Source organism: Homo sapiens, chromosome 17, assembly GCF_000001405.40.
Source record: "Homo sapiens chromosome 17, GRCh38.p14 Primary Assembly".
Classification (NCBI taxonomy): domain Eukaryota; kingdom Metazoa; phylum Chordata; class Mammalia; order Primates; family Hominidae; genus Homo; species Homo sapiens.
This window is the reverse complement of record NC_000017.11, coordinates 36,475,910-36,500,232: the sequence shown is the minus strand read 5'-3', so window position 1 is coordinate 36,500,232 and position 24,323 is coordinate 36,475,910. Positions and strand designations below refer to the sequence as shown.

The 24,323-nt window shown below is 46.5% G+C and overlaps 2 protein-coding genes, 1 long non-coding RNA gene and 1 pseudogene across 44 annotated transcripts in view, besides 1 other annotated feature; 3 read left to right on the top strand and 1 right to left on the bottom strand.

The window, feature by feature from the left end:
- MYO19 (myosin XIX) overlaps window positions 1–4,597 on the top strand; it is a 49,180-nt gene extending 44,583 nt beyond the window's left edge. For 26 of the 34 annotated variants that reach the window (XM_047436823.1, XM_047436835.1, XM_047436826.1 and 23 more), the window contains 3 exons: window positions 1,073–1,158; window positions 1,674–1,967; window positions 3,827–4,597. In XM_047436823.1, the coding sequence (XP_047292779.1) occupies window positions 1,073–1,158; window positions 1,674–1,967; window positions 3,827–3,982 (536 nt within the window). In that variant the 3' untranslated portion in view covers window positions 3,983–4,597. The remainder of the gene's footprint in view (window positions 1–1,072; window positions 1,159–1,673; window positions 1,968–3,826) is intronic. The other 8 variants (XM_047436840.1, XM_047436839.1, XM_047436837.1 and 5 more) reach the window with 1 other exon arrangement.
- On the bottom strand, window positions 921–13,552 carry ZNHIT3 (zinc finger HIT-type containing 3). 7 transcript variants are annotated; one of them, NM_001281432.2, is made up of 5 exons: window positions 13,448–13,552; window positions 13,267–13,298; window positions 7,334–7,420; window positions 6,227–6,307; window positions 921–2,627 (listed from the first exon to the last, which is right to left on the bottom strand). In NM_001281432.2, exons 1-5 carry the CDS (start codon window positions 13,531–13,533, stop codon window positions 2,467–2,469), a joined length of 447 nt encoding a protein of 148 aa, NP_001268361.1. In that variant the 5' UTR covers window positions 13,534–13,552; the 3' UTR covers window positions 921–2,466. The 7 variants fall into 7 exon arrangements, 4 of the variants coding, with proteins under 4 accessions (NP_001268361.1, NP_004764.1, NP_001268362.1 ...); NR_104009.2 differs by lacking the exon at window positions 921–2,627 and adding an exon at window positions 4,411–5,010 and having other exon boundaries at window positions 7,334–7,415; NM_004773.4 differs by lacking the exon at window positions 921–2,627 and adding an exon at window positions 4,411–5,010.
- Window positions 8,911–9,034, top strand: RNA5SP439 (RNA, 5S ribosomal pseudogene 439; annotated as a pseudogene).
- Window positions 12,898–13,831: an enhancer, noted in NCBI's record as "H3K27ac-H3K4me1 hESC enhancer chr17:34842246-34843179 (GRCh37/hg19 assembly coordinates)". NCBI's record gives its function as "activates a minimal SCP1, AML or CMV promoter by ChIP-STARR-seq in primed H9 embryonic stem cells {active_cell/tissue: H9 hESC(primed)}" and the evidence as "EXISTENCE:reporter gene assay evidence [ECO:0000049][PMID:30033119]".
- LOC105371749 (uncharacterized) lies at window positions 13,554–24,315 on the top strand. 3 transcript variants are annotated; one of them, XR_934710.4, is made up of 3 exons: window positions 13,554–13,646; window positions 17,664–17,772; window positions 23,636–24,315. It is a non-coding gene; the product is annotated as an uncharacterized LOC105371749 (long non-coding RNA). The 3 variants fall into 3 exon arrangements; XR_934709.3 differs by lacking the exon at window positions 13,554–13,646 and adding an exon at window positions 13,755–13,843; XR_934708.3 differs by lacking the exon at window positions 13,554–13,646 and adding an exon at window positions 17,123–17,242.
- Window positions 24,316–24,323: the final 8 nt, after the last annotated feature.

Here is a 24,323-nt window from a genome sequence, read left to right as displayed (position 1 = left end):
ACTACATATTAAGGGCGATGCCCTCCTTTTAAGGTGTGTTTGTGTGTGTGTAGGCATTAAAAAATTGTATAAGGAAGCTGGGCACAGTAGTTCGCTCCTGTAATCCCAGCATTTTGGGAGGCTGAGGTGGGAGGATCACTTGAGCCCAGGAATTTCATACCAGCCGGGCAACATGGCAAAACCCTTTCTCTACTAAAAATACAAAAATTAGCCAAGTGTGGTAGTATGCACCTATAATCCTAGCTACTCAGGAGGCTGAGGCAGGAGAATCACCTCAACCCAGGAGGCAGAGGTTGCAGTGAGCTGAGATTGCACCATTACACTCCAGCCTGGGTGACAGAGCAAGACTCTGTCTCAAAAAAAAAAAAAACAACAAAACATAATTAACCGTGCCTGGTGGCACATGCCTGTAGTCCCAGTTACTCCAGAGGCTGAGGCAAGAGGATTGCTTGAGCCTGGGAGATTGAAGCTACAGCCTTACGGAGGCTACAATAAGCTGTTCGTGCCACTGCACTCCAGCCTGGGCAAGACCCTGTCTCAAAAAAAAAAAAAAAAAAAAAAAAAAAAAGAAACAAAAAGAAAAAGAATATGCTGAAATTGCAGAGAAGGGAATAAAAATTACCACCATCTATTAATTGTATCAGTGTTTGGGTATATGGTGATGTGAGATCAGGGATGCATAAAGCGAACAAATTCAACTGAGGATTAAAAACAAAACAAAAAAAAAAGTTTTTAAAGGCACAGACAATCCAGACCCCTCCCATTCCCTGGGTGCTGACCTGGACCCAGCCTGAGACGGGAAGTGATTGCTGGGCCCTCAGCCAGTCCTTCTCCCCAGTGCCCCTTCACTGTGTTGTGTAGGTGTATTCAAGTGTGTGGGCAGTGTAAGGAATGTTTAAAAGCCAATTTTGCCTTATGTATTGATTTTAGAACCTTATTTGTAGCAATTTATTGAAAAAAAAAAAACGTATTTGAAACTTTGACAGCAACTGTGGTGCTGCTGCAGCGAGGTCACTGACAGCTCTAATGGCCCCTTTATTATCTCTTTCCTGTTTCTGGGCAAACCTCTTAGCCATTCGTTCCTGGTTAACTCGGAAACACATCCAGAGGCTGCATGCAGCTGCCACAGTCATCAAGCGTGCATGGCAGAAGTGGAGAGTAAGTAAGACCCAAGAAGTCGGGGTGGGCAGTGGATCAATTTTGGGGACCAGATGGACCCGAGTGGGAATGCTGGCTCTGCCACTGCAATGCAGGTGGCCTTGGGCAGGTTGTTTAGCCTCTCTGAGCCTCATATTCCTCATGTATGCAGTGGGCACAGTAACACCTACCCTGCAGGGTGGTTATGTAGGTGAAGAGTGGTATAAGCAACTCTGGGAATATACCAAACTCTGGGATGTACACTTTAGAAGACTGGGTTTTATGGCATATCAGTTATATCTTGATGGACTCTTATCTTGTTTTCAAGTAGCATATGTAAGGCCTAAGCACAGTTGCCTGGGGTGTATAGACTTGTGGCATATGGAACCAGTTTGGTTCAGGGCAGCCAGCTGTTTGCAACCAGGTGCCTTCAGTTCACCTTGTTAAGATGATTTGTTAAAGATAGTTTTGATTTCCATTTTCTGCTAAGAGGGCTAGATAAATCTAAAGCTATAAAGGGATATTTGCTTTTTAAGATCAGAATGGCCTGCCTTGCTGCTAAAGAGCTGGATGGTGTGGAAGAAAAACACTTCTCTCAAGCTCCCTGTTCCCTGAGCACCTCGCCGCTGCAGACCAGGCTCCTGGAGGCAATAATCCGCCTCTGGCCCCTGGGACTGGTCCTGGCCAATACGGCTATGGGTGTAGGCAGCTTTCAGAGGAAATTAGTGGTCTGGGCTTGCCTCCAGCTCCCCAGGGGCAGCCCCAGTAGCTACACTGTCCAGACAGCACAAGACCAGGCTGGTGTCACGTCCATCCGAGCGCTGCCTCAGGTACGTTGTGTGTGATGGCCATGACAGCTTTGTTCCTGAGAACAGCAGGAGCAAAGCCTACAAGTTCACAGCGGGAATGAGACTGAGGCTGGGACAAGATCCATCCCTAACCCTACTGGGTAAACCAGAGGGCTGCATGTCCCAATCAGCTGCAGGTTTGGATTATTTATTTTGTTATAACTGGGAATCTTCCAGAGCCCTTTATCTTTTTAAAAACTGCTTCTAATTATTTCAGCATCTCTAAATCTTCTAGTCCCATTTCCAAATGCAATGCTGCGTTTCTAGCAAGCTCCCAGCTGATTCTGATGCTCCATGAACCACACTGTGAGAACCAAGGCTTTAGATGAGTCAGGAGCAGGAGGTGATGAAAGTTTAGCTTAGGGCCTGGAGCGGTGGCTCACGCCTATAATCCCAGTACTTTGGGAAGTCGAGGCGGGTGTATCACCTGAGGTCAGGAGTTCAAGACCAGCCTGGCCAACATGGCGAAACCCCATCTCTACTAAAAATACAAAAATTGGTTGGGCGTAGTGGCAGGCGCCTGTAGTCCCAGCTGCTCGGGAGGCTGAGGCATGAGAATTGCTTGAATCTGGGAGGGAGAGGTTGCAGTGAGCCGAGATTGCGCCGCTGCACTCCAGCCTGGGTGACAGGACGAGAGTCCATCTAAAAAAAAAAAAAAGTTTGGTTTAGGGTAATAATAGGTCAATTACAGAAAAGAGGAAAAATTCACGAGACATAGCAAAAAAGAAACTACCCAAGACTTGAGAGCAAATAATCTAATTAGTCCCACATCACAACTTGGGTTGTGAGGAGTTTGTTACCTCAAATGGCACTGGATTTGGCACCATGTTTTCCCCAAATTGTATTGCTTGGTTTTTTCCTTTTCTGGCTGACGAAATGACAAGCAGGGTCAGTGGTCCAAGTTCTCTGTGGGTTTTTTTTTTTTTTCATGTTATTTAATTTTTTGAGACGGAGTCTCACTCTGTCGCCCAGGATGGAATGCAGTGGGTTTAAGCGATTCTCCTGCCTCAGCCTCCCGAATAGCTGGGACTACAGGGCATGTGCCACCATGCCTGGCTATATTTTTTTTTTTGTATTTTTAATAGAGACGGGGTTTCGCCATATTGGCCAGGCTGGTCTCAAACTCCTGACCTCAAGTGGTCTGCCTGCCTTGCCCTCCCAAAGTGCTGGGATTACAGGTGTGAGCCACCGTGCCCAGCTGTTTTTATATAAGCATCCAGGGAAAAGTCAGCCAGCACACTCAGGAAGTCATTGTCACTCAGGGCTTTGTGAGTCACCCCAGTAAGCCAGGCCTCATAGAATTAAAGTGGCCGAGGAAAGGTGAAAGTATGTTGCACTGGGAGGTAGAACCCCAGGGTCTGGATCCTGGTTCTGCCCCATTCACTGGATGATCTTGGCTAAGACACATTTTCTCGGAGCCTGTCTATAAAATGGGCTAATACTCAACCTACTGCATGGAGTCACAGCAAGGAGTAAGTGAAATGACAAGGCAGAAGGAAACACCAAATTTCCATTCAGAGGAATAACTATAGGCCTTAATCTGGATGAAGTCTCCCATGAAAACACACAGGCCTGCTAAACAGAAGGGTAAATGTTTTGCCCTTCTGGCTTTAAGCAGTCATAGGAATGTGACAGACATTCCTCTTAGGGAGCGCCTCCTCCTAGGGTTTCCTCATCTGTCTCACACTGAGTGGATGTAATGCTATTTTAATCCTGCTGTGGCCCCCAATACTAGTACTTGTCCATACCTTCTTGCATTTTTAGCGTCTGCTCTGTGGGGTTGTTAGGCCCTGGCACTCCCAGGAACTAGTGCTAAAGCTGCATCTCTCTCTCCCCTCTAGGGATCGATAAAGTTTCACTGCAGAAAGTCTCCACTGCGGTATGCTGACATCTGCCCTGAACCTTCACCCTACAGCATTACAGGCTTTAATCAGATTCTGCTGGAAAGACACAGGCTGATCCACGTGACCTCTTCTGCCTTCACTGGGCTGGGGTGATCCTTGGTGCCTTTGTTTCCACAAGGCCTTTTCCTGCCCCCTGCCTTGCCAAAGACATTTAATCAGCACACAGCTGCCAGACTATTCCCACAGTGCTCCAAATGCACATGAACAACAGTGACGGCTCCAGCCTTCGACCCAGAGCCCCGTGCCCAGTGCGTCAGTGGGCCTGGGGTTCCAGGCTACATCAAGCACTGATGGTGTCAGGGCTGGTAGTTACCAAATCAGGGTTAAGAAACATCAGGGCCACATTTCACTACCTTCACAGATCAAACTCAGCAGCAGTCATGACTGTCTGTCACTACACTGGGGATCCCAATTCCACATAAGCACTTTTGGAAGAAAACAGCCAAAGTTGGCCTAAAATTGGCGCTGGAATTTGGGCTGGGAAAAATCTTGTGGTTATTTCCTTTAAAAAGGAACAAAACTTTAGTATTTAATTAGTTGATTTATTTAATGTAATTTCAAACAATTAAATTATGAATAATGCAATGTACAGTAGAATCACGTTTTGATTTTATTAACACTGACCAAGTTTAACTCCATATGAAGTGTAAGCTTGATATCGTTTATGATGTCTATCAACTGTACCAAAAGTAAAACATTTAAAAACAATCATCTGAATGTCAAGTTTTCTCTCCATAAAGGACTTGCCACCTTAAGGACCCCAAGTCTGCCTGAAACATGAGCCACATCAATGCCGGTAAAGGCCTGCATGACCTAATCTGCATCCTGGAAACCTCTTTTGCCTGAGCTCCCCAGCCCCAAACTAGCTGGTCTGGGAGAGGGAGCAGGCAGGTTCCAGGAGTCAAGCACACGCTTGAGCAAGCAGCACAATAATCCATCTTAAGACTCCTCATTCTGGGATGGCTCCACAATTCCTAAACAGCAGTCTGCAAACTCCACAAACAAAGGCTCTTGCATGTAAGCTCTCATGAGCTTTGCTTTGTCTTCTCCCTGATCGAGGTTGACCATCAACTGCCTGAGGTGTGGATTGAGCAATAAGCTTCTTAATGTTGCAGATTCCCCTAAAAATTAACAAGAAAAAAAGCCAGTCTGAGTTCAAGTGGAAACACATGGAGATGGCTGAAAAGTGAAGAGCTATTTCAAGTGTAATAAAACTATCAGCAAGGTGTGGTGGCTCATGCCTGTAATACCAGCAACTGGGGAGGTCAAGGTGGGCAGATTGCTTGAGCTCAGGAGTTCAAGACCAGCCTGTGCAACATGGCGAGACCCCACCTCTATAAAATGAAAGGTAAGACCAGCATATCAAACTATTTCCGCATTAAATGCAGTAACAGATACCAGTTCTTGGTATCTTTGTAAATATTGTAACTTCGTGCCACTTCAGCTAAGAAAAAAATGCTTTATCAGCACAATCACAAAGCAAATAGTAGCATTAAGCTGCTGGCATGTTTTCTTTCTTTCTAGCCATAAAAGTTGCCAGTGGTGAAGACGGCTATACGAAATAATCTGAATGATGTCTAAGCATGCCATTTGGCATGCAGCAGCACCAGTAGCAGGGAACCAACAATAATACCTGCATGGTACTTCACAGTCTGTAAAATTTTTCACACCTATTACTAGCTCATCTCCAAACTCAGTCTAACTAATCATTACCATGAGACTAAGTGCAAAACATAACCTTTTAACATGATTCTGTGAAATGGGAAGAATGAAATTAACAGACCCCATGCACATGTAACAGAATGTTGTAAGGACTGAATAAGCAGTGCTACAAAAATGGCAACACCTGTTTCCCCCTAAATCAAATCATGTGATAACCAGTTTGTGTTAAGGGCTGGACTGTGAGCTGAGCACTGGGGATCTGGGAATACAGGTCCCTGCTGTACAAATCGGTATGTGAGAGACAAATTACCATGAAATGTAACAGTGATTTATTACTATTAAGTCCAAGTTGCTATGGGAAACCAAAAAAGTGCCTAATTCTGAAAGAGACACAAAAGGTCAAGAAAAGCTTAGCTGAGTGAAGAAAACTTGAACCAAGGCTTGAAGGAGGAGCAGAATTTTGCCAACCCACAAGACCAGCAGGATTCCAGGCAGAAGGAATGGTGTGGGCAGGCTGGGAGGTGTGAAACCCTGTATGTTTACAGATTATGTGGCTAGATAGTAAGAGCCCTACATGCCATACTTATTCAAGAAATTAAAAACTTTTTAAAAAATCACAATCCTTACAACACAGTAAATGTATCTCAACGATTGACAAGCATAGCACAGACTTACCTAAATTCTTTAAATTCTGCAAAGAAACTCTGTCTTCTTCCTCATCACTATTGAGAAAATCAGCTATAGAGTCATCATCATCTAAGGAATACAAAACAGTCAATGGCTCATGGCTAAAAAGGAGGCCTGGGCACCAGATTTTAACCACTACTTGAACAGGATAAAAATGTGTGCACGCACATGTGATAGTGATAGGGGTATTCAAGCAGGTACAGACAAAAATCCTCTTCTCCGGAGTCTGTGACTATACTAACACTCCTTTTTTAGAAGAGGGAGGCTAAGTGAAAGAATTGGTGATTTTAACAAATGCACTCTAGTGTTCACATCCTTACTGTATATGTGGTCCTGTGGTCTTTAGGCTTAGACCCCGGTTGTCTAATAACTTAATACCCATCCCCACCTCAACATGGCTCCAACCCTGTGATGGGCCAATTAACTGGATGCTCTGTAAAAACCAGCCAAGTAGAATCTCCTGTGCTTTCAGCATGGGCAGAAACTGCTGGCATTGCCTGAACCCAACCTGGAAATTTCTCAAAGGGCAAAAATGGGCCATGCCTTTGGAGTGAATGTTCAATACCTCTTTGGTGGCACCAGAGGGGCTGCTTTCAGAGCCTGGCATGGTGCTTGACACCCAGGAGGTATTAAAGAACGTTTAGATGGCTGGACGGATGGGTTGACAGCCCACTACTGCTGTGAGCTCTGAACCCCCAGCAGCAGCGAGATGATCTAGGACAAAGAAAGCCTCCTGCCTGGGCTGAGTTCAGGTGAACTGACAGTCCCAGCCAGATTCATGGAGGGAGACCAGCAGCTATGGGCTAGAGAAGGCTCCTGCCAGCAGGGCCCACCGCAAACCCCCAAACCACAGCCATGGCCTTTCTCATCTCTGTCTTCTGCCCATTTTTCTTCTCCTGAATACTGCTTTCAGGCTGTTGCCTCAATATCACCCATGATGACATGGCCCCACTCCTGATGCTCAAGGCTAAGGAAGCTGTTCCTTCCCAATGAAGCTATTGTTCTGGATTCCCTGACCAGCCCCACTCTCCCCTTTTCCTTCGACTTATTCTATGTGAAGTCCCTTGTAGATTTGTTTGAAGTCAACCAACCCACCTTTGTTTTCCACAGGCTTTACGGTTTTGGTAGGAAGAGCTGATCTTATTTTTTTCTCAACAGGACGAGTTTCAGGGTTGCACTGTTCTGAAAAAGACACAAATCCCAGGCCCACATTACCTCCATTTCAGCGACAAGGCTGCACCTCCCTACCAAGGTAGCATCTAGGTAGGAAGCAAGTGTCTGGGGTAAGGGATGTGGGTGGGTGCCCAGGAATGTGGAAGAAGTGAGAGATCAAAGCAAGAGAGAGATTAAGGAAAACCGCCAGCAGGCTGAGAAAGCAGGACTCATTCATGCACCCCAAGAACCTGTCCCCATCCTCCCTACCCTGCCGAATCTTACAAAATTCTCACCACAATTAACTGAGGTGTTTGAAATAGCTGCTGTAAACCAGATACCAGATGGGATAAAACTAGGGGCAAAACCACCAAAGAACTTACAGAGTCAACAGAAGGCCAGCTGTGCTGGCTCACGCCTGTAATCCTAACATTCGGAGGCCAAGGTGGGAGGATCACTTGAGCCCAGGAGTTTGAGACCAGCCTGGGCAACCTAGCAAGACTATGTCTCTACAGAAAATAAAAAAAATCATCCAGGCATGGTGGTACACACATGTGGTCTCAGCTACTTGGGAGGCTGAGGCAGGAGGATCCCTTAAGCCCAGTGTGTCAAGGCTGCAGTGAGCTGTGATTGTGCCACTGCACTCCAGCCTGGGTGACAGTATCAACAGAGCATGAAGTCACAGGAAAGGGTTCTGAGGACATAAAGGCAGGACCAGATTGTAGAGACTTAAAATGTAGATTTGACAATATGCTACGGAAAGGTTCTAGTCATGTAGGTGGCAGTTACAACAGCTGCCAGTGACTAAGTGCCGAGCACTGTGCCAGGTACACAGTGAGATACATAGTGGCTCAATGAACCTTTACGAAGCCCCCATGACATGGAGACTGTTAATTCCACTTACAGATGAAAGGATTAAATTTTCTTGTAATAAACTTGTCCATTGGGGTCCACAGCTAGTAAGTAGCAGAGGCAGATTTGGAATCCGGGTCTAACTTTACGGCTATGCTATATGTGTAAGGAACACAGCAGGAGGGACTGAAGGAGAGGTGAATTTTCTGGGTTGTACCTGACCCCAAAATACATTTGTGTCTAAGGTGCTCAAAAAGAGGCTGGAGCTAAACAGTTGGATGTCAGCAAGAAAAAAAAAAGTTTAAAGTGAAAGAGAGATCACCTACCTAGGAATAAAAGTCAAGGACCACATTTCAAGAGAGAGATCTAGCAAAAGGAAGGAGAAGCTGGGCACAGTGGCTCCTGCCTGTAATCCCAGCAATTTGGGAGGTTGAGGCAGGAGGACTGCTTAAGCCCAGGAGTCCAAGACCAGCCTAGACAATACAGTGAGACCCTGTCTCTACGAAAAATAGATAAAGTTTGTCTCCGTTACTCAGGAGGCTAAGGTGGGAGGATCACTTGGGCCCAGGAGGCCAAGGGTGCAATGAGCTGTGATCACACCACTGCACTCCATCCTGGGCAAAAGAGCAAGACCCTGTCTCGAAAAAAGGAAAAAAAAGAAAACGAGAGTCTACAGCTAAGCCACCCTGAATGCACCCTATCTCATCTGACCTCAGAAGCTGTAACAGGGTCAGGCCTGGTTAGGACTTCGAAGGGAGAAAGGGAGGAGAGAATACCACAGAGCGGTATCTTCCCAGCCTCCAAAGAATATCAAGAAAGAAAAAGCCAAACACAGCAGATATTCATGGGAATCAAGAAAGATGACAGGCTGAGCATGGGTAGCTCACGTCTGTAATCCCAACGCTTTGGGAGGCCAAGGTGGAAGGATCACTTGAGCCCAGGAATTCAAGACCAGCCCAGGCAATACAGTGAGACTTCATCTCCACAAAAATTAAAATTAAAAATAAATAAGCCAGGCATGGTGGCACACGCCTGCAGTCCCAACTACTTGGGAGGCTGAGGTAGGAGGACTGCCTGAGCCCAGGAAGTCAAGGCTATAGTGAGCACCACTGCACTCCAGCCTGGGTGACAGAGCAAGACTTTGTTGCAAAAAAATAAAAAAGACAAATGAAAAGTGTACAACAGATGTGGCTATTAGAAATTTCTGATAAAAATTATTTATTAAATACCACTTTAACACTGCCTATAGCAGCAACAAAGGCAAAATTAATGTAAATATCCACCAATAAGAAAAATAAATATTAAAATGACCATACTACCCAAAGTAATCTAGAGTCAATGCAATCCCTATCAAAATACCAATGATCCTGTTCACAGAAATGTCAAAAAAAAATTCTAAAATTAATATGGAACCACAAAAGACCCCCAATAGCCAAAGCAATCCTGAGCAAACAGAACAAAGCTGGAGGCATCACCACTACTTGGCCTCGAAATATACTACAAAGCTATAATATCTAAACAGCATGGTACTAGCATAAAAATAGACACATAGATCAATGGAACAGAATAGAGAACCCAGATATAAATTCACACATTTACAGCCAACTGACTTTTCACAAAGGCACCAAGAGCATATACTGGGGAAAAAAGCACTCTTCAATAAATGGTACTGGAAAAATAGGATAACTGTAAGAATAACCATATGCAGAAGAATGAAACTAGATCCTTATCTGTCACCATATATAAATATCAAAATGGATTAAAGACCTAAATGTAAGACCTGAAACTACTACAAGAAAACACAGGGGAAATGCTTCAGGACATTGGTCTAGGCAAAGATTTTATGAATAAAATCTCAAAAACACAGGCAAGAAAAGCAAAAATAGGCAAATGGAATTCTATTACACAAAAAAGCTTCTGTACAACAAAGGAAACAATAGAATGAAGAGACAACCCACAGGATGGGAGAAAATATTTGCAAAATATTCACTTGACAAAGGATTAATATCTAGAATACACAAGGAGCTCAACAGCCAAAAAAAAAAAAAAAAAAAAATTAAGTGGACAAATGGGCCGGGCATGGTGGCTCACCCCTGTAATCCCAGCCCTTTGGGAGGCCGAGGCAGGTGGATCACCTGAGGTCAAGAGCTCAAGACCAGCCTGGCCAACATGGTGAAACCTTGTCTCTACTAAAAATACAAAAATCAGCCAGCAGGCACCTGTAATCCCAGCTACTTTGGAGGCTGAGGCAGGAGAATCACCTGAACCCTGGAAGCGGAGGTTGCAGTAAGCAGAGACTGCGCCACTGTACTCCAGCCCGGGCGACAAGAGCAAGACTCTGTCTCAAAAAGAAAAAAAAAAAAAATGGGCAAATGAGCCAAACAGACACTTCTCAAAAGAAGACATATAAATGGCCAACAAGTACATGAAAAAATGTTCAACATCACTAATTATTAGGGACATGCAAGTCAAGACCACAATGAGGTATCATCTCACCACAGTAAGAATGGCTATTATCAAAAAGAAAAAAACATGTTGGCAAGGATGTGGAGAAAAGGGAACTCTTATACACTGCACTGTTATTGGGAATGTAAATTAGTATAGTCATTATGGAAAACAGCATAGAGGTTCCTAAAAAAAAACTACGAATAGAACTACCATATGATCCAGCAATCCCACTACTGTATATATATCCAAAGGAAATGAAATCAGTCTGCCGAAGAGATACCTGCACTCCTGCGTTTACTGCTAGTCACAACAGCCAAGATAAGGAATGAACCTAAGGATCCACCAACAGATGGATAAAGAAATGCGGTACATATATACACTGGATATTAGCCATAAAAAACCATGAAATCCTGTCACTTGCAGGAACATGGATGAGCCCAAAGAACATAATGTTAAGTGAAACAAGCCAGGCACCATAAGATGTTCTTGTTAACATGTGGATGCTAAGCAAGTTGATTTCACAGAAGTAGAGAGCAGAATAGTGGTAACTGGAGGCTAGGAAGAGTAGAGTGTAGGGGGCTAGGGAGAAGTTGCTTAATGGATACAAAATTACAGCTAGATGGGAGGAATAAGTTCTAGTGTTACACAGTACCTTAGTGTGACCATGTTGGCAGCAATTTATACTTTCAAATAGCTACAAGAGAGGATTGCGAGTGTTCCCAACATGAAGAAATGATTATTTGGGGCGAATATGCTAATTACCCTAATTTGATCCTTAAACATTGTATACAGGTATCGAAGTATCACACTGTAACTCAAATTGTATGCAATTATGTGTCAATTAAAAACAAATATTAAAAAGAAAAATCAACCAATAGGAGGCTTTATATAAATAATGGTCGTACCAACTATATAATGAAATAACATACAGTCCTTTAAGTCAGTGAGCTAGAACTTGTATGCACTAGTCTTTATTTTTAATTTTTTTAATTTTTTTTTAGATGGAGTCTCACTCTGTTGCCCAGGCTGGAGTGCAGTGGTGCAGTCTTGGCTCACTGCAACCTGCGTCTCCATGGTTCAAGCAATTATCCTGCCTCAGCCTCCTAAGTAGCTGGGATTACAGGCGCGCACCTCCACACCCAGCTTATTTTTGTATTTTTAGTAGAGATGTGGTTTCATAATGTTGGCCAGGCTGGTCTCGAACTCCTGACCTCAGGTGATCCACCCACCTTGGCATCCCAAAGTGCTGGGATTACAGGCATGAGCCACTGCGCCCAGCCTGTATGCACTAGGTTTTAAAAAGTGCCCAATATATAAACTCAAATGAGGATGTTGGGTACAGTCTCATTGCTGAGATTCTAAAAGCTAAAAAAAAAAGTTCTATATATTGGTACAAGAGTGGAAATAAGCTGAAAGAATCTACATCAAGCTTTTTTTTTTTTTTTTTTTGAGACAGTCTTGCTGTCTCCCAGGCTGGAGTGCAGTGGTACGATCCTGGCTCACTGCAACCTCCTCCTCCCAGGCTCAAGCGATCTTCCCACCTCTGCTTCCTGAGTAGCTGGGACCACTGGCACAGGCCACCACGCCTGGCTTTGTTTGTTTATAGAGACGGGGTTTCGCTATGTTGCCCAGGCTGGTCTCAAACTCCTGAGCTCAAATGATCCGCCCGCCTCGGCCTCCCAAAGTGCTGGGATTACAGGCGTGACCCACCGCGCCCCACCTACATCAAACTTTTTTTTTTCTTTTTTTTTCCAGACTGAGTCTGGCTCTGTAGCCCAGGCTGGAGTGCAGTGGTGCGATTTCGGCTCACTACAACCTCCGCCTCCCGGGTTCAAGCGATTCTCCTGCCTCAGCCTCCTGAGTAGCTGGGATTACAGGCGCGCACCTCGCCCGCCTAATTTTTGTATTTTTAGTAGAGACGGAGTTTCACCATGTTGGCCAGGCTGGTCTCGAACTCCTGGGCTCAGGTGATCCACCCGCCTTGGCCTCTCAAAGTGCCGGGACCACAGGCGTGAGCCACCGCGCCCGGCCAGGTCACTTCTTTTTAACTGTACAAAAGTGTGTTCACATCATACACAGAACTTACTTGGTTCTTTTTTTCTCTTAACAAATCAAGGACGTCTCCTTGTATTGTACATGGACTTACCTCTTTGTTTCTAACAAGACATTATTTACACGAGTGAAAATACTGTTAAAGTTAGCGCAGTTTCAGCCAAATGGTGAGGGGCTACATCAGAATACTGAGGAAGAAACTGCTAGGGTAGACCTCGGTGGGAAAAGCAATCGGAAACTATTTCTAAGCAAAAAAGAGTAACACGCAGAAGGAGAAGCGGGGTAGAAGAAAGGCTACTGACCAAAACCCTGAGAGCGATTACAGGCAGGGACAACAGAGGGAACTGTCCGACACACAGAGACACCAGGGACCAAGTCAGAGGAAGCAAGGTTCCTGCAGAACCCGCGGAGACCCGAGGCGGGAAAGGAAGCGCAGCCCAAGGGTCCACGCCCCCAAGACGGAGGCTGGACGTGGGGGCTGCCCCGTGCGCAGTGGTACGAGGGCTGGCGGGGACGGGGCTCACCTTTGTGCTTCCGGAAGCAGACTACCGAGCAGCTGTAACAACAGAGGCCACAGGCCGCGTCAGCCCCGAGGGTCCCCGGCCCCTCCAGCAGCCCGCCCGCTCCCGCCCGGCCTCCCGGCCTCCCGCCCTCCCGCCATGGCCGGACACCCGCGCCCCTGGACCCCGCGACCTCCCCGCTCACTAGGGCACGCGGCAGGCTGGACAGCGGTATTTGGGCTTCTCCAAGCAGATCACGCAGACGACGGTGCTACATTTGAGCGACGCCATGGTTTTGTGGAAGGAGACTGTTCACTGCGCCGCCGCGCGCCTCTCACGCAGCCGCGCCCGCGTGCACGCCCCTTTTTCCGTTTCCTAAACGGGGACCAATCAGCGCTCAGCAGGTAGGCAAAAGCAATGGACTGATCCTGCTCACTGTTCCAGCCCTCGTACTTAGAGCGTCGATACACTCGATGCGCATCTATTAGCTGCGTCCCAGGTTTTCCTTGATTAGATCACAGCGTCGAAGAACTTGTTATGTAGCCCAGTCCCTGTCCCTATGCGGCCGTGTGGCTTGGAGCAAGCCATCGACACTGTCCAGGTGTGTTGCCCCGCATGTAAAAAAGAAAACAATACATGGAACTAAACGTCCTTTACTTTCTGGCTGGGACTTCCTGAATCTTGCAGGGACATTGGGGTTCATCCGCCCATCTCATCTGCTTATTCTTGGCAAAGGACAAGTCCAGACATTGGGCGAACCAGAATCGGTTGGATCACGCAGTAGACAGGAACCTGCCCTTCCCAACCTAGACCATTTTTCACTGGGGAAAGAAAGATGAGCCTGAACAGTGGCAAATGTTTGAGCTCCAACTGTGAGCCCTTCCGGGCTGGGGACCCCCCGGGGTCTTCTAATGAAGAAGTCGTCTCTGTCCCCTGGGAACTAAATGCTTAGAGTGAAAGTAGGACGGGGAAACGGGGAGGAAAGAGACTCACTCTTAGAGTCCTGCCGTCGCTACCCTGCACCTGCACGCCCCTGAGACTGAGTGCTTCTTAAATTTTGCACTCTAGGCTCCTCACACCTCCCCCTAGTCCCGGAAGCTAATTGACCAGGAAGCAGGCCAGTGACCACTAGTCCCAAGACGGGGATCCCAGGCAGATGAGTCTGGATAGATGGGCTATGATGGGACTTGAATGCCACCACAAACTTTAGGTTTAGAAAAAGTAATGTTTTTTGTTGTTTGTTTTTTAAGGAAATTTGCTTGCAGCTAGGCATGGCCCAGCCTTACCTTAGCTCCCATCCTACCTGCACTGGGCCCTCCCAGGGCCATAAATCACCCTTACTCCCAAGTGCCTCCTCTTCTGTGTTGGCCGTTCAGCCTTCAGGGTCCCTCTTCAATAAAGGTGTCTGCAGGGATGTATCTGCAACAACCGAGGCAGTGGTTTGAACCTTGGCTCAACCCCCTCCCTGGCTGTGTGACCTGGAGGGGTTGGTTACCCCCTCTGAGCTCCCTCATCTATTAAAGTGGATGTTTGGGCCTACTTTCCTGAGCTGTTGTAAAGCAGAGAGGAGACCATGTGCAAAAGTTTTGTAATCAGAAGTGCTACCTGATATCTAGAAAGAGTCTTAACTCTCATGGATCTCCGTCTGGACCGCATGAACATAGGTCCCAGGCCCCAAGCCATGCTCTCCAAAACAGTTCTGCCGCCTGCTTCTTGAGTGGGAGGTGAGTAATTATCCTTCCTTTGGGCGTGGCGACCCAGTCCAGTCCTCAGTGCTGAAGCTGCTGGGCCCTCTGGCCACCTGCCTGTCCTGCTTGCAGCTGCCCCAGCCTCCAACTTCTGCCCAGGACCCAGCTTAGAATCCAAAACGGGTCCACACAGGCCCAGTAACCCGCAGCGTTCCTCATATTGTTCAACAGTTGTACCACTGATGATTTGAACTTGAAGCATCCCAGAAAGTCCAAGCTTACCTGGGAAGGCCAGAGAAGGCCAGTGACTTGTCCAGGGCCATATTTAAATCCTGTGCCAAGTCGGGCATGGTCGCATCAGCCTGTAGTCCCAGCTACTTAGAAAGTTGAGGCTGGAGGCTCACTTGAGCCCAGGAGTTCAAGGCTGCAGTGAGCTATGATTGTGCCACTGCATTCCAGCCTGGATGACAGAGAGAGAGAGACCCCGTCTTAAAGACGAAAAATTTAGGCCAGGCGCAGTGGCTCACGCCTGTGATCCCAGCACTTTGGGAGGCCAAAGCAGGCAGATCACTTGAGGCCAGGAGTTCAAGACCAGCCTGGCTAACATAGCAAAACCCTGTCTGTACTAAAAATAGAAAAAATTAACTGGGTGTGGTGGTGCACGCCTGTAATCCCAACTACTAGAGAGGCTGAGGCACAAGAATCGCCGGAACTCTAGAGGCAGAGATTGTAGTGAGCCAAGATCATGCCACTGCACTCCAGCCTGGGCGACAGAGCAAGACTCTGTCTCTAAAAATTAAAAAAAAAAAAATTTAATTTAAAATCCTGTGCCCCACCAGGTAAGGTGGCTCACGCCAGTAATCCTAGCACTTTGGGAGGCCAAGGCGGGCACATGGCTTGAGCCCAGGAGTTCAAGACCAGCCTGGGCAACATGGCAAAAACCCATCTCTACCCAAAAAGATACAAAAATTAGCGGGGGGCAGTGGCTTGAGCCTGTAATCCCAGCTACTGGGGAGGCTGAGGTGGGAAAATCGCTTGAGCCCAGGAGGTGGAGGTTGCAGTGAGTGGAGATCACGCCACTGCACTCCGGCCTGGGTGACAGAGCAGGACCTTGTCTCAAAAGGAAGAGAGAGAGAGAAAAAAAAACAAAAGATCCTGTACACTGTCTGGCACGGGTAGAAATTTGCCCACTGTGGCGGACTCACCACTGTCTGCTTGATTTGTCCTGTGATGTGTGTACCAAGGCTGAGGCCAGAGACAATCCTAACCATTTTCAGGGGCTCAGTCCCTCCCACCTGCATACAAACCACGCTGACTCCCTATCTGCGAGTGGAGAGATGATGACTCCAGAAAAAAAAAAGAAAAAAGAAAATTCGGCCAGGCGCGGTGGCTCACGCCTGTAATCCCAGCACTTTGGGAGGCCAAGGCGGGCAGATCACGAGGTCAGGAGATCGAGACCATCCTGGCCAACATGGTGAAACCCCCGTCTCTACTAAAATACAAAAAATTAGCCAGGTGTGGTGGCACGCGCCTGCAGTCCCAGCTACTAGGGAGGCTGAGGCAGGGGAATCCCTTGAACCCGGGAAGCGGAGGTTGCAGTGAGCCCAGATCGCGCCACTGCACTCCAGCTTGGTGACAGAGCGAGACTCCATCTCAAAAGAAAAGAAAATTAAATTCCTGGAATCCTTCCCATGCACATCCACGCAGGGAAGAGGCCCCTCCTCTACTCTGGATATCTGGATGCCCCCAGCTTTCCCCGACCTTCGCACCCCTCGTCCTCTAATGTCCGGGAAAGGAGGTGGGCTCAGCCGCGATGGCGGTTAGGTGGTGGCACACTAAGGCGCACAGCGCAGCTCCTCCGGGCAGTGGCCAGTTCAGACAAGAAAGGGGGCTGTGACCCCAGGCCCAGCAACTAGATGTCCACACTGATGTCCCCTCCAGACCCGTCCTAATGGCCACCCAGGGCTGTCTTGGGCCTCCTTGGCGTCAGCCTGGGACGCAGTGCGGGCACTGAAGAGAGAGGCGTCGTTGTCGAGGTTTTCAGAGCTCTGCCTCCTGGCAGCGCTGTCCGGTGCGTTGAAGGCGAGTCCGGGCCAATCCCAAGGCTGGAGACGCGCAACGCCGCGCACCGTCCCGCCAGAGGGCGCTCCAGGCCCGCACTGCCCGGGTGGAGCGCGCTCGCCCGGATTCCCGCGCAGCTGGCGCCCCGCCTGCGCCCCACCACGTGCGGGGAGGCTCAGCGGTCTGGTAGCGCTGGGAAGACCAAGTCCATGCTCTGATATGCACTTCGGACATCGCCAGGCGGCAGGAAAGTGCGTCTAGAGCGCGGGGGCGAAGCGGGCGACCCGATGCCCACGAGTGTTCCTACGGGAAAGCAGGGCCTGCGCTCTCCGAGGTCTCCGCGTGCCACTGGCTGTCCGGGGGCTGTTCCCCGCGGTGCCCACCGCCCCGCGCTTGCGGACAGCTCCTGGGGGCGGAGTGCCCGCTGACAGCTGGCCGGCCGCCCGCAGTAGCCTGGTGAAAGTTGAACCACACTTCCAGAGCATGTGGGTTGCTCGCTAGGGCGCGATCCGCTGCCTTCCACCCTCCTGGCCTCCCGCGATGAGGCAGGCAGATCGGCCTAATCTCCCCTACGTGCTGTGTGGCCCTTGTTAGAGGCGGAGGTTGATAAGGGCGAGCCCTGCTAGATCTCAGCTCCTTTCCGCAGCTCTGACACTTGCATTTCTCCCCCAGGGCACGGATGAGCCAGGGCCAGCACCAGAAGTGACTTTTAGGGACTGCTGCCACGTTCTCACCTGCATGCCTCCGTTTCCCCTCTGGTATCTAAGAGAGAGTAATTCAGGTGTTAAAGTGAGTGACGTTGCCGGTGGGAGTCAAATGAAGGAGACCTGAGTTCTGGTGGAGTGGGTGGGCCCAGTTGGTGTCCAACAACTCTGCATATTATTTCATACTCATGAAATTATATCCATCCTCCAACTCTAGACTAAATGACAATATGACCTGCAGTTAGACTTCACGGAGAACTTCCAAAATACAAAAGGGATACAGAACAATTGCATTCCCCACAATCCCAGAACTGTTGGGAGAGCACAGACAACAGAGGTCACCATTGCTCCCTGAACACACCCTACCAGCCACAACCCCACATTTTTCTTTTCTCACACTCACTCCCATTTGCAAATGCACATCGATCTTCCACCTGACATTCCCAAGGACACACAGAGATGCGAGGAGTCAGAGCTACCCGACCAGCTTCCCCAAGAAGCCTCTAAAGGTGCCCTGTGGAGTGGGCGTGCAGCGCGTCAAGCTTTTCACAAACCTCTGAACCCATCTCCACCTCCCACATGGCAGCAGTGCATAAGAACTCTGCTCAGTGAGGGGCGGGGAAGAGGAACTGAGACCCCAGGTTTATTTCCTTATCATTTAAAAATGAGGACAAGAAACAGATTTTTTTAGACAAAACCCAACAGGATTCTTCACTAGCAGATCTACGCTACAAGAAATGTTAGTTATTCGGGCAAAAGGAAAATGACATGAGATGGAAATTTGGATCTGCACAAAGGAGTACCAAAAATTGTAAACCTATAGGTAAAATCAAAAAAACATTTTTACTTTTTGGGGGTTTTTTTTGTTTTTTTTTTTTGTTTTTTTGAGACAATGTGTCATTCCGTCACCCAGGCTGGAGTGCAATGGCGCGATCCCAGCTCACTGCAACCTCCGCCTCCCAGGTTCAAGCGATTCTCCTGCCTCAGCCTCCCAAGTAGCTACGACTACAGGTGCCCGCCACCACGCCCGGCTAATTTTTGTATTTTTAGTAGAGACGGGGTTTCACCATGTTGGCCAGGCTGGTCTCGAACTCCTGACCTCAGGTGATCCACCCGCCTTGGCCTTCCAAAGTGCTGGGGATTACAGGTGTGAGCCACCACGCCCGGCCCATTTTTACCTTTTTAATCTCTTTAAATGATAACTGGTTCAAGCAAATATAACAGTACAGTGTGGAGTTCTTAGCACATGCAGAATTAAATATATGAAAGTAATAACATTTTCATAAAACATAAAAATGATGGAGGGAAATAGAAGTTACTAGGTAAGACTCTTACACTATATGTGACATGGTCTAATATTATTATCTCCACTGTGGAGGTAAAATGGCATCGGGTACTTAGTCTCAAAGAAGGCAGCATTGTGGAGTAGTACTTCAATAAAAAAGAGAGGAGCTAGCAAAAAAGAAAAAAAGAACAAGCAAATGGGATAAATAAGAAGAAATAGCAAGATGATAAACCTTTCTGTATCAACATATTAAATGTAAATGGTTGCCCGGCGCTGTGGCTCACGCCTGTAATCCCAGCACTTTGGGGGGCCAAGGCAGGCAGATCACTTGAGGTCAGGAGTTCAAGATGAGCCTGGGCAACATGGTGAAACCCCGTCTCTACTAAAAATATAAAAATTAGCCAGACGTGGTCGTGGGTGCCTGTAATCCCAGCTCCTCAGGAGACTGAGGCAGGAGAATCACTTGAACCCGGGAAGCAGAGGTTTCAGTGAGCGGAGATTGCCCACTGCACTCCAGCCTGGGCAACAGAGTGAGACTCTGTTTCACAAAAAAAAAAAAAAAAAAGGAAATGGTTTCTAAACACTTACTTAAAAGACAGATATTGCCATATTGGATTAATCCTGGCTAATTTTGTTTTTTTAGTACAGACAGGGTTTCACCATGTTGGTCAGGCTGGTCTTGAACCCCTGACCTCAAGTAATCCACCCGCCTCGGCCTCCCAAAGTGTTAGGATTACAGGCATGACCCACCACGCCCAACCAGAATATAAAAACCTTGAACAACGCTATCAACCCACTTGACCCAATTGACATTTATAGACAACTCTATCCAAGAATACGTTATTTTCACGTGCACGCTGAACAATTCCCAAAATAGATCACATGCAGGACCATAAGACACATTTCAACAAATTCAAAAGAATTGAAGCCATTCAAGTGTGTTCTCTGACCACAAAAGAACTAAATTAGCAATCAGTAACAGGAATATTTCTGGAAAATCCTCAAATATTTGGAACTAAAAAATACACTTACAAATAATGTATGGGTCAGCCAGGTGCGGTGGCAAACACCAGTAGCCCCAGCTACTCAGGGAGGCTGAGGTGGGAGCAACAATTCAGCCTGGGAGTTCAAAGATAGCTTGGGTAACATAGAAAGACCCTGTCTCTAAAAAAATAAAAGTTTAAAAAAATATAGTATTGCATGTGCCAAGGAGGAAATCGCAAAGGAAACTAAGAAAAAATTTTCAACTAAATGAAAAAAATGTCAAAATTTGTGATACACAACTGAGGTTTCTATCATAAAATGCCTACTATAGCAGTCATTCTCAGCCAGGAGCAATTCTCCCATGCCCAAGACATTTGGCAATACATGAAGACACTTTTGGTTGTCACAACTGGAGAGGGGTGCTGCTGATATCTAGTGACTATAGGCCAGGGATGCTACTAAACATCCTGTCGTGCATAGGACAGTCCCCCAACAATTATAAAGCCCCAAATGTCAACAGCGCTGATGCTGAAAATACTGCTAAATTAGAAAAGCCTCAAATAAATGATTTAAGCTTCCTCACTAAGAGACTAAATAAAGAATACCAAAGTCAGCAGAAGAAACAGATAAACGAAAAGCAGAAATCAATAAAACAGAAACTATAGAAAAGTAATAAAACAAAAAATGGTTCTTAGAAAAAATTCAGTAAGATTGAGAAATCTCTAGTCAGACTGATGAAGAAGAAAGGGGTGAGGAGGGAGGGATATGACATACATGGATCAGATGATTCTATATGGCTAAGATGTCAGTTCTCCCCAAATTGATCTGTAGAACAATGCAATCCTTATCAAAATCCTAGAAGGCTCTTCTGTTGAAACTGGCAAGATGACTGTAAAATTTAAAGGAAGTTCGGGCACAGTGGCTCACGCCTGTAATCCCAGCACTTTGGAAGGCTGAGGCAGGCTGATCACGAGGTCAGGAGATTGAGACCATCCTGACTAACAGGATGTAAACCCCGTCTCTACCAAAAATACAAAAAAATCCCGGCGTAGTGGCACGCGCCTGTAATCCCAGCTATTCGGGAGCCTGAGACAGGAGAATCGCCTGAACGCGGGAGGCAGAGGTTGCAGTGAGCCAAGATTGCGCCACTGCATTCCAGCCTAAGCGACAGAGTGAGACTCTATCTCAAAAAAAAAAAATTAAAGGAAATGCAAAGGATATAGATTAGCCAAATCTATTTTATAAAAGAAAGAAAAAATTTGAGAATGTATATTACCTGATTTCAATACTCTGAAAAGAATACAGTGAAGAAGACAGTATCGTGGTTTTTTGTGTTTTTTTTTTTTATTGCTGTGGTTGTTCTAAGACAGACGGTCCCAGCCAGGTGCAGTGGCTCTCATCTATAATCCCAGCACTTTGGGAGGCCGAGGCAGGAGATCACCTAAGGTCAGGAGTTGAAGACCAGGCTGGCCAACATGGTGAAACCCCATCTCTACAAAAATACAAAAATTAGCTGGGCATGATGGTGGGTGCCTGTAATCCCTGCTACTCCAGAGGTTGAGGTGGGAGAATCACTTGAACCCAGGAGGCAGAGGTTGCAGTGAGCCAAGATCACACCATTGCACTCCAGCCTGGGCGACAAAACGAGACTCCATCTAAAAAATAATAATAATAATAAGAGAGAGGGTCTGTGTTGCCCAGGCTAGATTTGAATTCCTGGGGTCAAGTTTTCCTCAGGCCTCAGTCTCCAGAGTAGCTAGACTACAGGCATGGACAGCATGGTATTGATGTGTGAATAGACATAAAGGGACAGAGAGGAGTCCAGAAGTAGAGCCACACCAGTATGGTCAATTGTTTTCAACAAAGAAGCCAAGGTGATTCAATAGTTGCTTCAACAAAAAATGACTGAAAAATTGGACTTCATAGCCAGGCATGGTGGTGCACATCTGTAGTCCCAGATACCTGGGAGGTTGAGGCAGGAGGATTGCTTGATCTCAGGAGTTTAAATTTACAATGAGCTGTAATCGCACTACTGCACTCCAGCTTGGGCAACAGAGCAAGACCCAGTCCCCACTCCCCCCAAAAAAAGGACTTCCATATGCAAATAATAATAACTTGAAATGGCTCATAGACCTAAATATAAAAACTAAAACTAAAATTTCTAGAAAAAAATGAGAGAACATCTTTGTGACCTTGAGTCAGGCAAGCATTTCTTAGGTTAGACATAAAATCCACAAATCACAAAAAACTAGTAAGTTGAACTTCATCTAAAAAAACCCACAAACGCCAAACTTCTATTCTCCAAAGACACTGTTAAGAAAAGGAAAAAAGCCACAGACAAGAAAAAATATTTGCAAAAGACATCTTAGATAAATAACTTTTGTCTTTTACCACCAAAGAATATATACAGATGGCAAATAAACACATCAGTAGATACTCAGCATAAACAGCCATTAGGGAAATGCAAGTTAAACTCACAATACAGCACCACCACACATCTACTAGAATGACGAAAATTAAAAAAACTGACAATACCAAGTGCTGACAAAGAGGCAGAGCAACTGGATATCTCATATATTGCTGCTGGAAATGCAAAATGATTCAATCACTTTGGAAAATAGCTTGGCCATTTTTTTTTAATGAAGTTAAACATGTACTTATCATCCAACCCAGCAAACACAGTCCTAGATTTTTAGCTAAGAGGAATGGAAATGTATGTTCACACAAAGTCTTCTCTGCAAAAGGTTATATCAGCTTTATTCCTAAAAGCAAAAAATTAGAAACAACCCATTTGTCCATCAACTGATAAGTGGATAAACAATTTATGGCAGATTTATAGAATGAAATACCTCTTAGCAACCTAAAGAAACAAATCACTGATAAAAGCAAAATCGTGGATTAATCCAAATCATTATGTTAAGTGAGAGAAGCTAGATACAAAAGACTACATACTGTCTAATACTTATATGAAGGTGTAGCAGCCAGGCACGGTGGCTCACGCCTGTAATCCCAGCACTTTGGGAGGCCAAGGTGGGCAGATCACGAGATCAAGAGATCGAGATCATCCTGGTCAACATGGTGAAACCCCGTCTCTACTAAAAATACGAAAATTAGCTGAGCGTGGTGGTGTGCACCTGTAGTCCCAGCTGCTCAGGAGGCTGAGGCAGGAGAATCACTTGAACTCAGGAGACGGAGGTTGCAGTGAGCCAAGATCGTGCCACTGCACTCCAGCCTGGTGACAGAGCAAGACTCTGTCTCAAACAAACAAAAAAAAAGGTGTAGCAAAGGCAAAACTATGGTGACAGAGGCTGGGGTGGGGGCAGGGTGGGGGTTGATGGCCAAGTGGTATGAGGAAATTTTTCAGGATGCTGGAACTGTTCTATATCATGACTTCAAAGCTGGATAAAGGTCAACCGATGCCTTAAACACAGCCCAACAATGATACCCCCTTGGCCCTTTCACTGCCTGAAATAAAGAACTTAGGGGTCCCTCACACAAAGCATCTGATGAGTTAACACTAGCCAGATCCAGGCAGCTATGTTTGCATTGAATGGAAGCAAAACTTTCCTGCCTTGAGACAGAAACAAAGGTGATATCTGATGACACCTTCAAATCAAAGTTTTTAACTACTCACTTACCAGCCAAAGACAATTGTTTTTATTCTTTTGCAGATTACAGTTGAACATGGCAAATAAAGACAATTACCAAACAAACAGACGAAAAAAAATCTGACTAAAGTTGAGTGTAGCTGTGAAAAGTTAAGGGCATGACACCTAGGGTAGGGGTGGAGGGGATGGACAGTCTGTAGTGTCCCCTTCCCTTGGTCCCCTAAGCAAATTCCTTTTTAACTTAATGATTATCCAAGGCTGCATGGCTTTTATCTTTTTATTCCGCCTCTCAGATCCATAGCTCTAGTCCTAGTGATAGTGACAAGAGGCAGAGAAATTCTAGGCAGAGAGGGGTGGATCCCTGGTGAAGCCCCACCCTCAAGCCAAAAAGCCTGAGACCACAGCCCAAAGTGAGAACTTATATCCCCATTTTCCTGCTTGAATGTTGCCTTTTCCTAAACTACCATGGTCCTGCCCTGCCCCATCCTGTGCCTATAAAGACCCCAGACTCAGCCGGTAGAGAGGAGAAGCAGCTGCATGTTGGGGACTATGGCCAAAGTCAGAGAGAACCAGCTTGACTTCAGAGGGACAGCTTGACAGTGTAACTTCAAAGAAGAATCTGGCCAGAGACTGCTGGACCTCAGGGGAAGATTACCTACATTCCCTGGCCCCTTTTCAACCTCCCTTCCCTCTGAGAGCCACTTTCATCAGCAATAAAATCCTCCACATTCACCATCCTTCAATTCATTTG

Coding starts and splice junctions, on each gene's coding strand:
- ZNHIT3 (NM_004773.4), bottom strand. CDS start 13,533: ATGGCGTCGCTCAAATGTAGCACCGTCGTCTGCGTGATCTGCTTGGAG. Junction 7,421..13,266: donor CTGCTTCCGGAAGCACAAAG/GTGAGCCCCGTC, acceptor TGTCTTTTTCAG/AACAGTGCAACCCTGAAACT. Junction 5,011..6,226: donor GCAGAATTTAAAGAATTTAG/GTAAGTCTGTGC, acceptor GTTAATTTTTAG/GGGAATCTGCAACATTAAGA.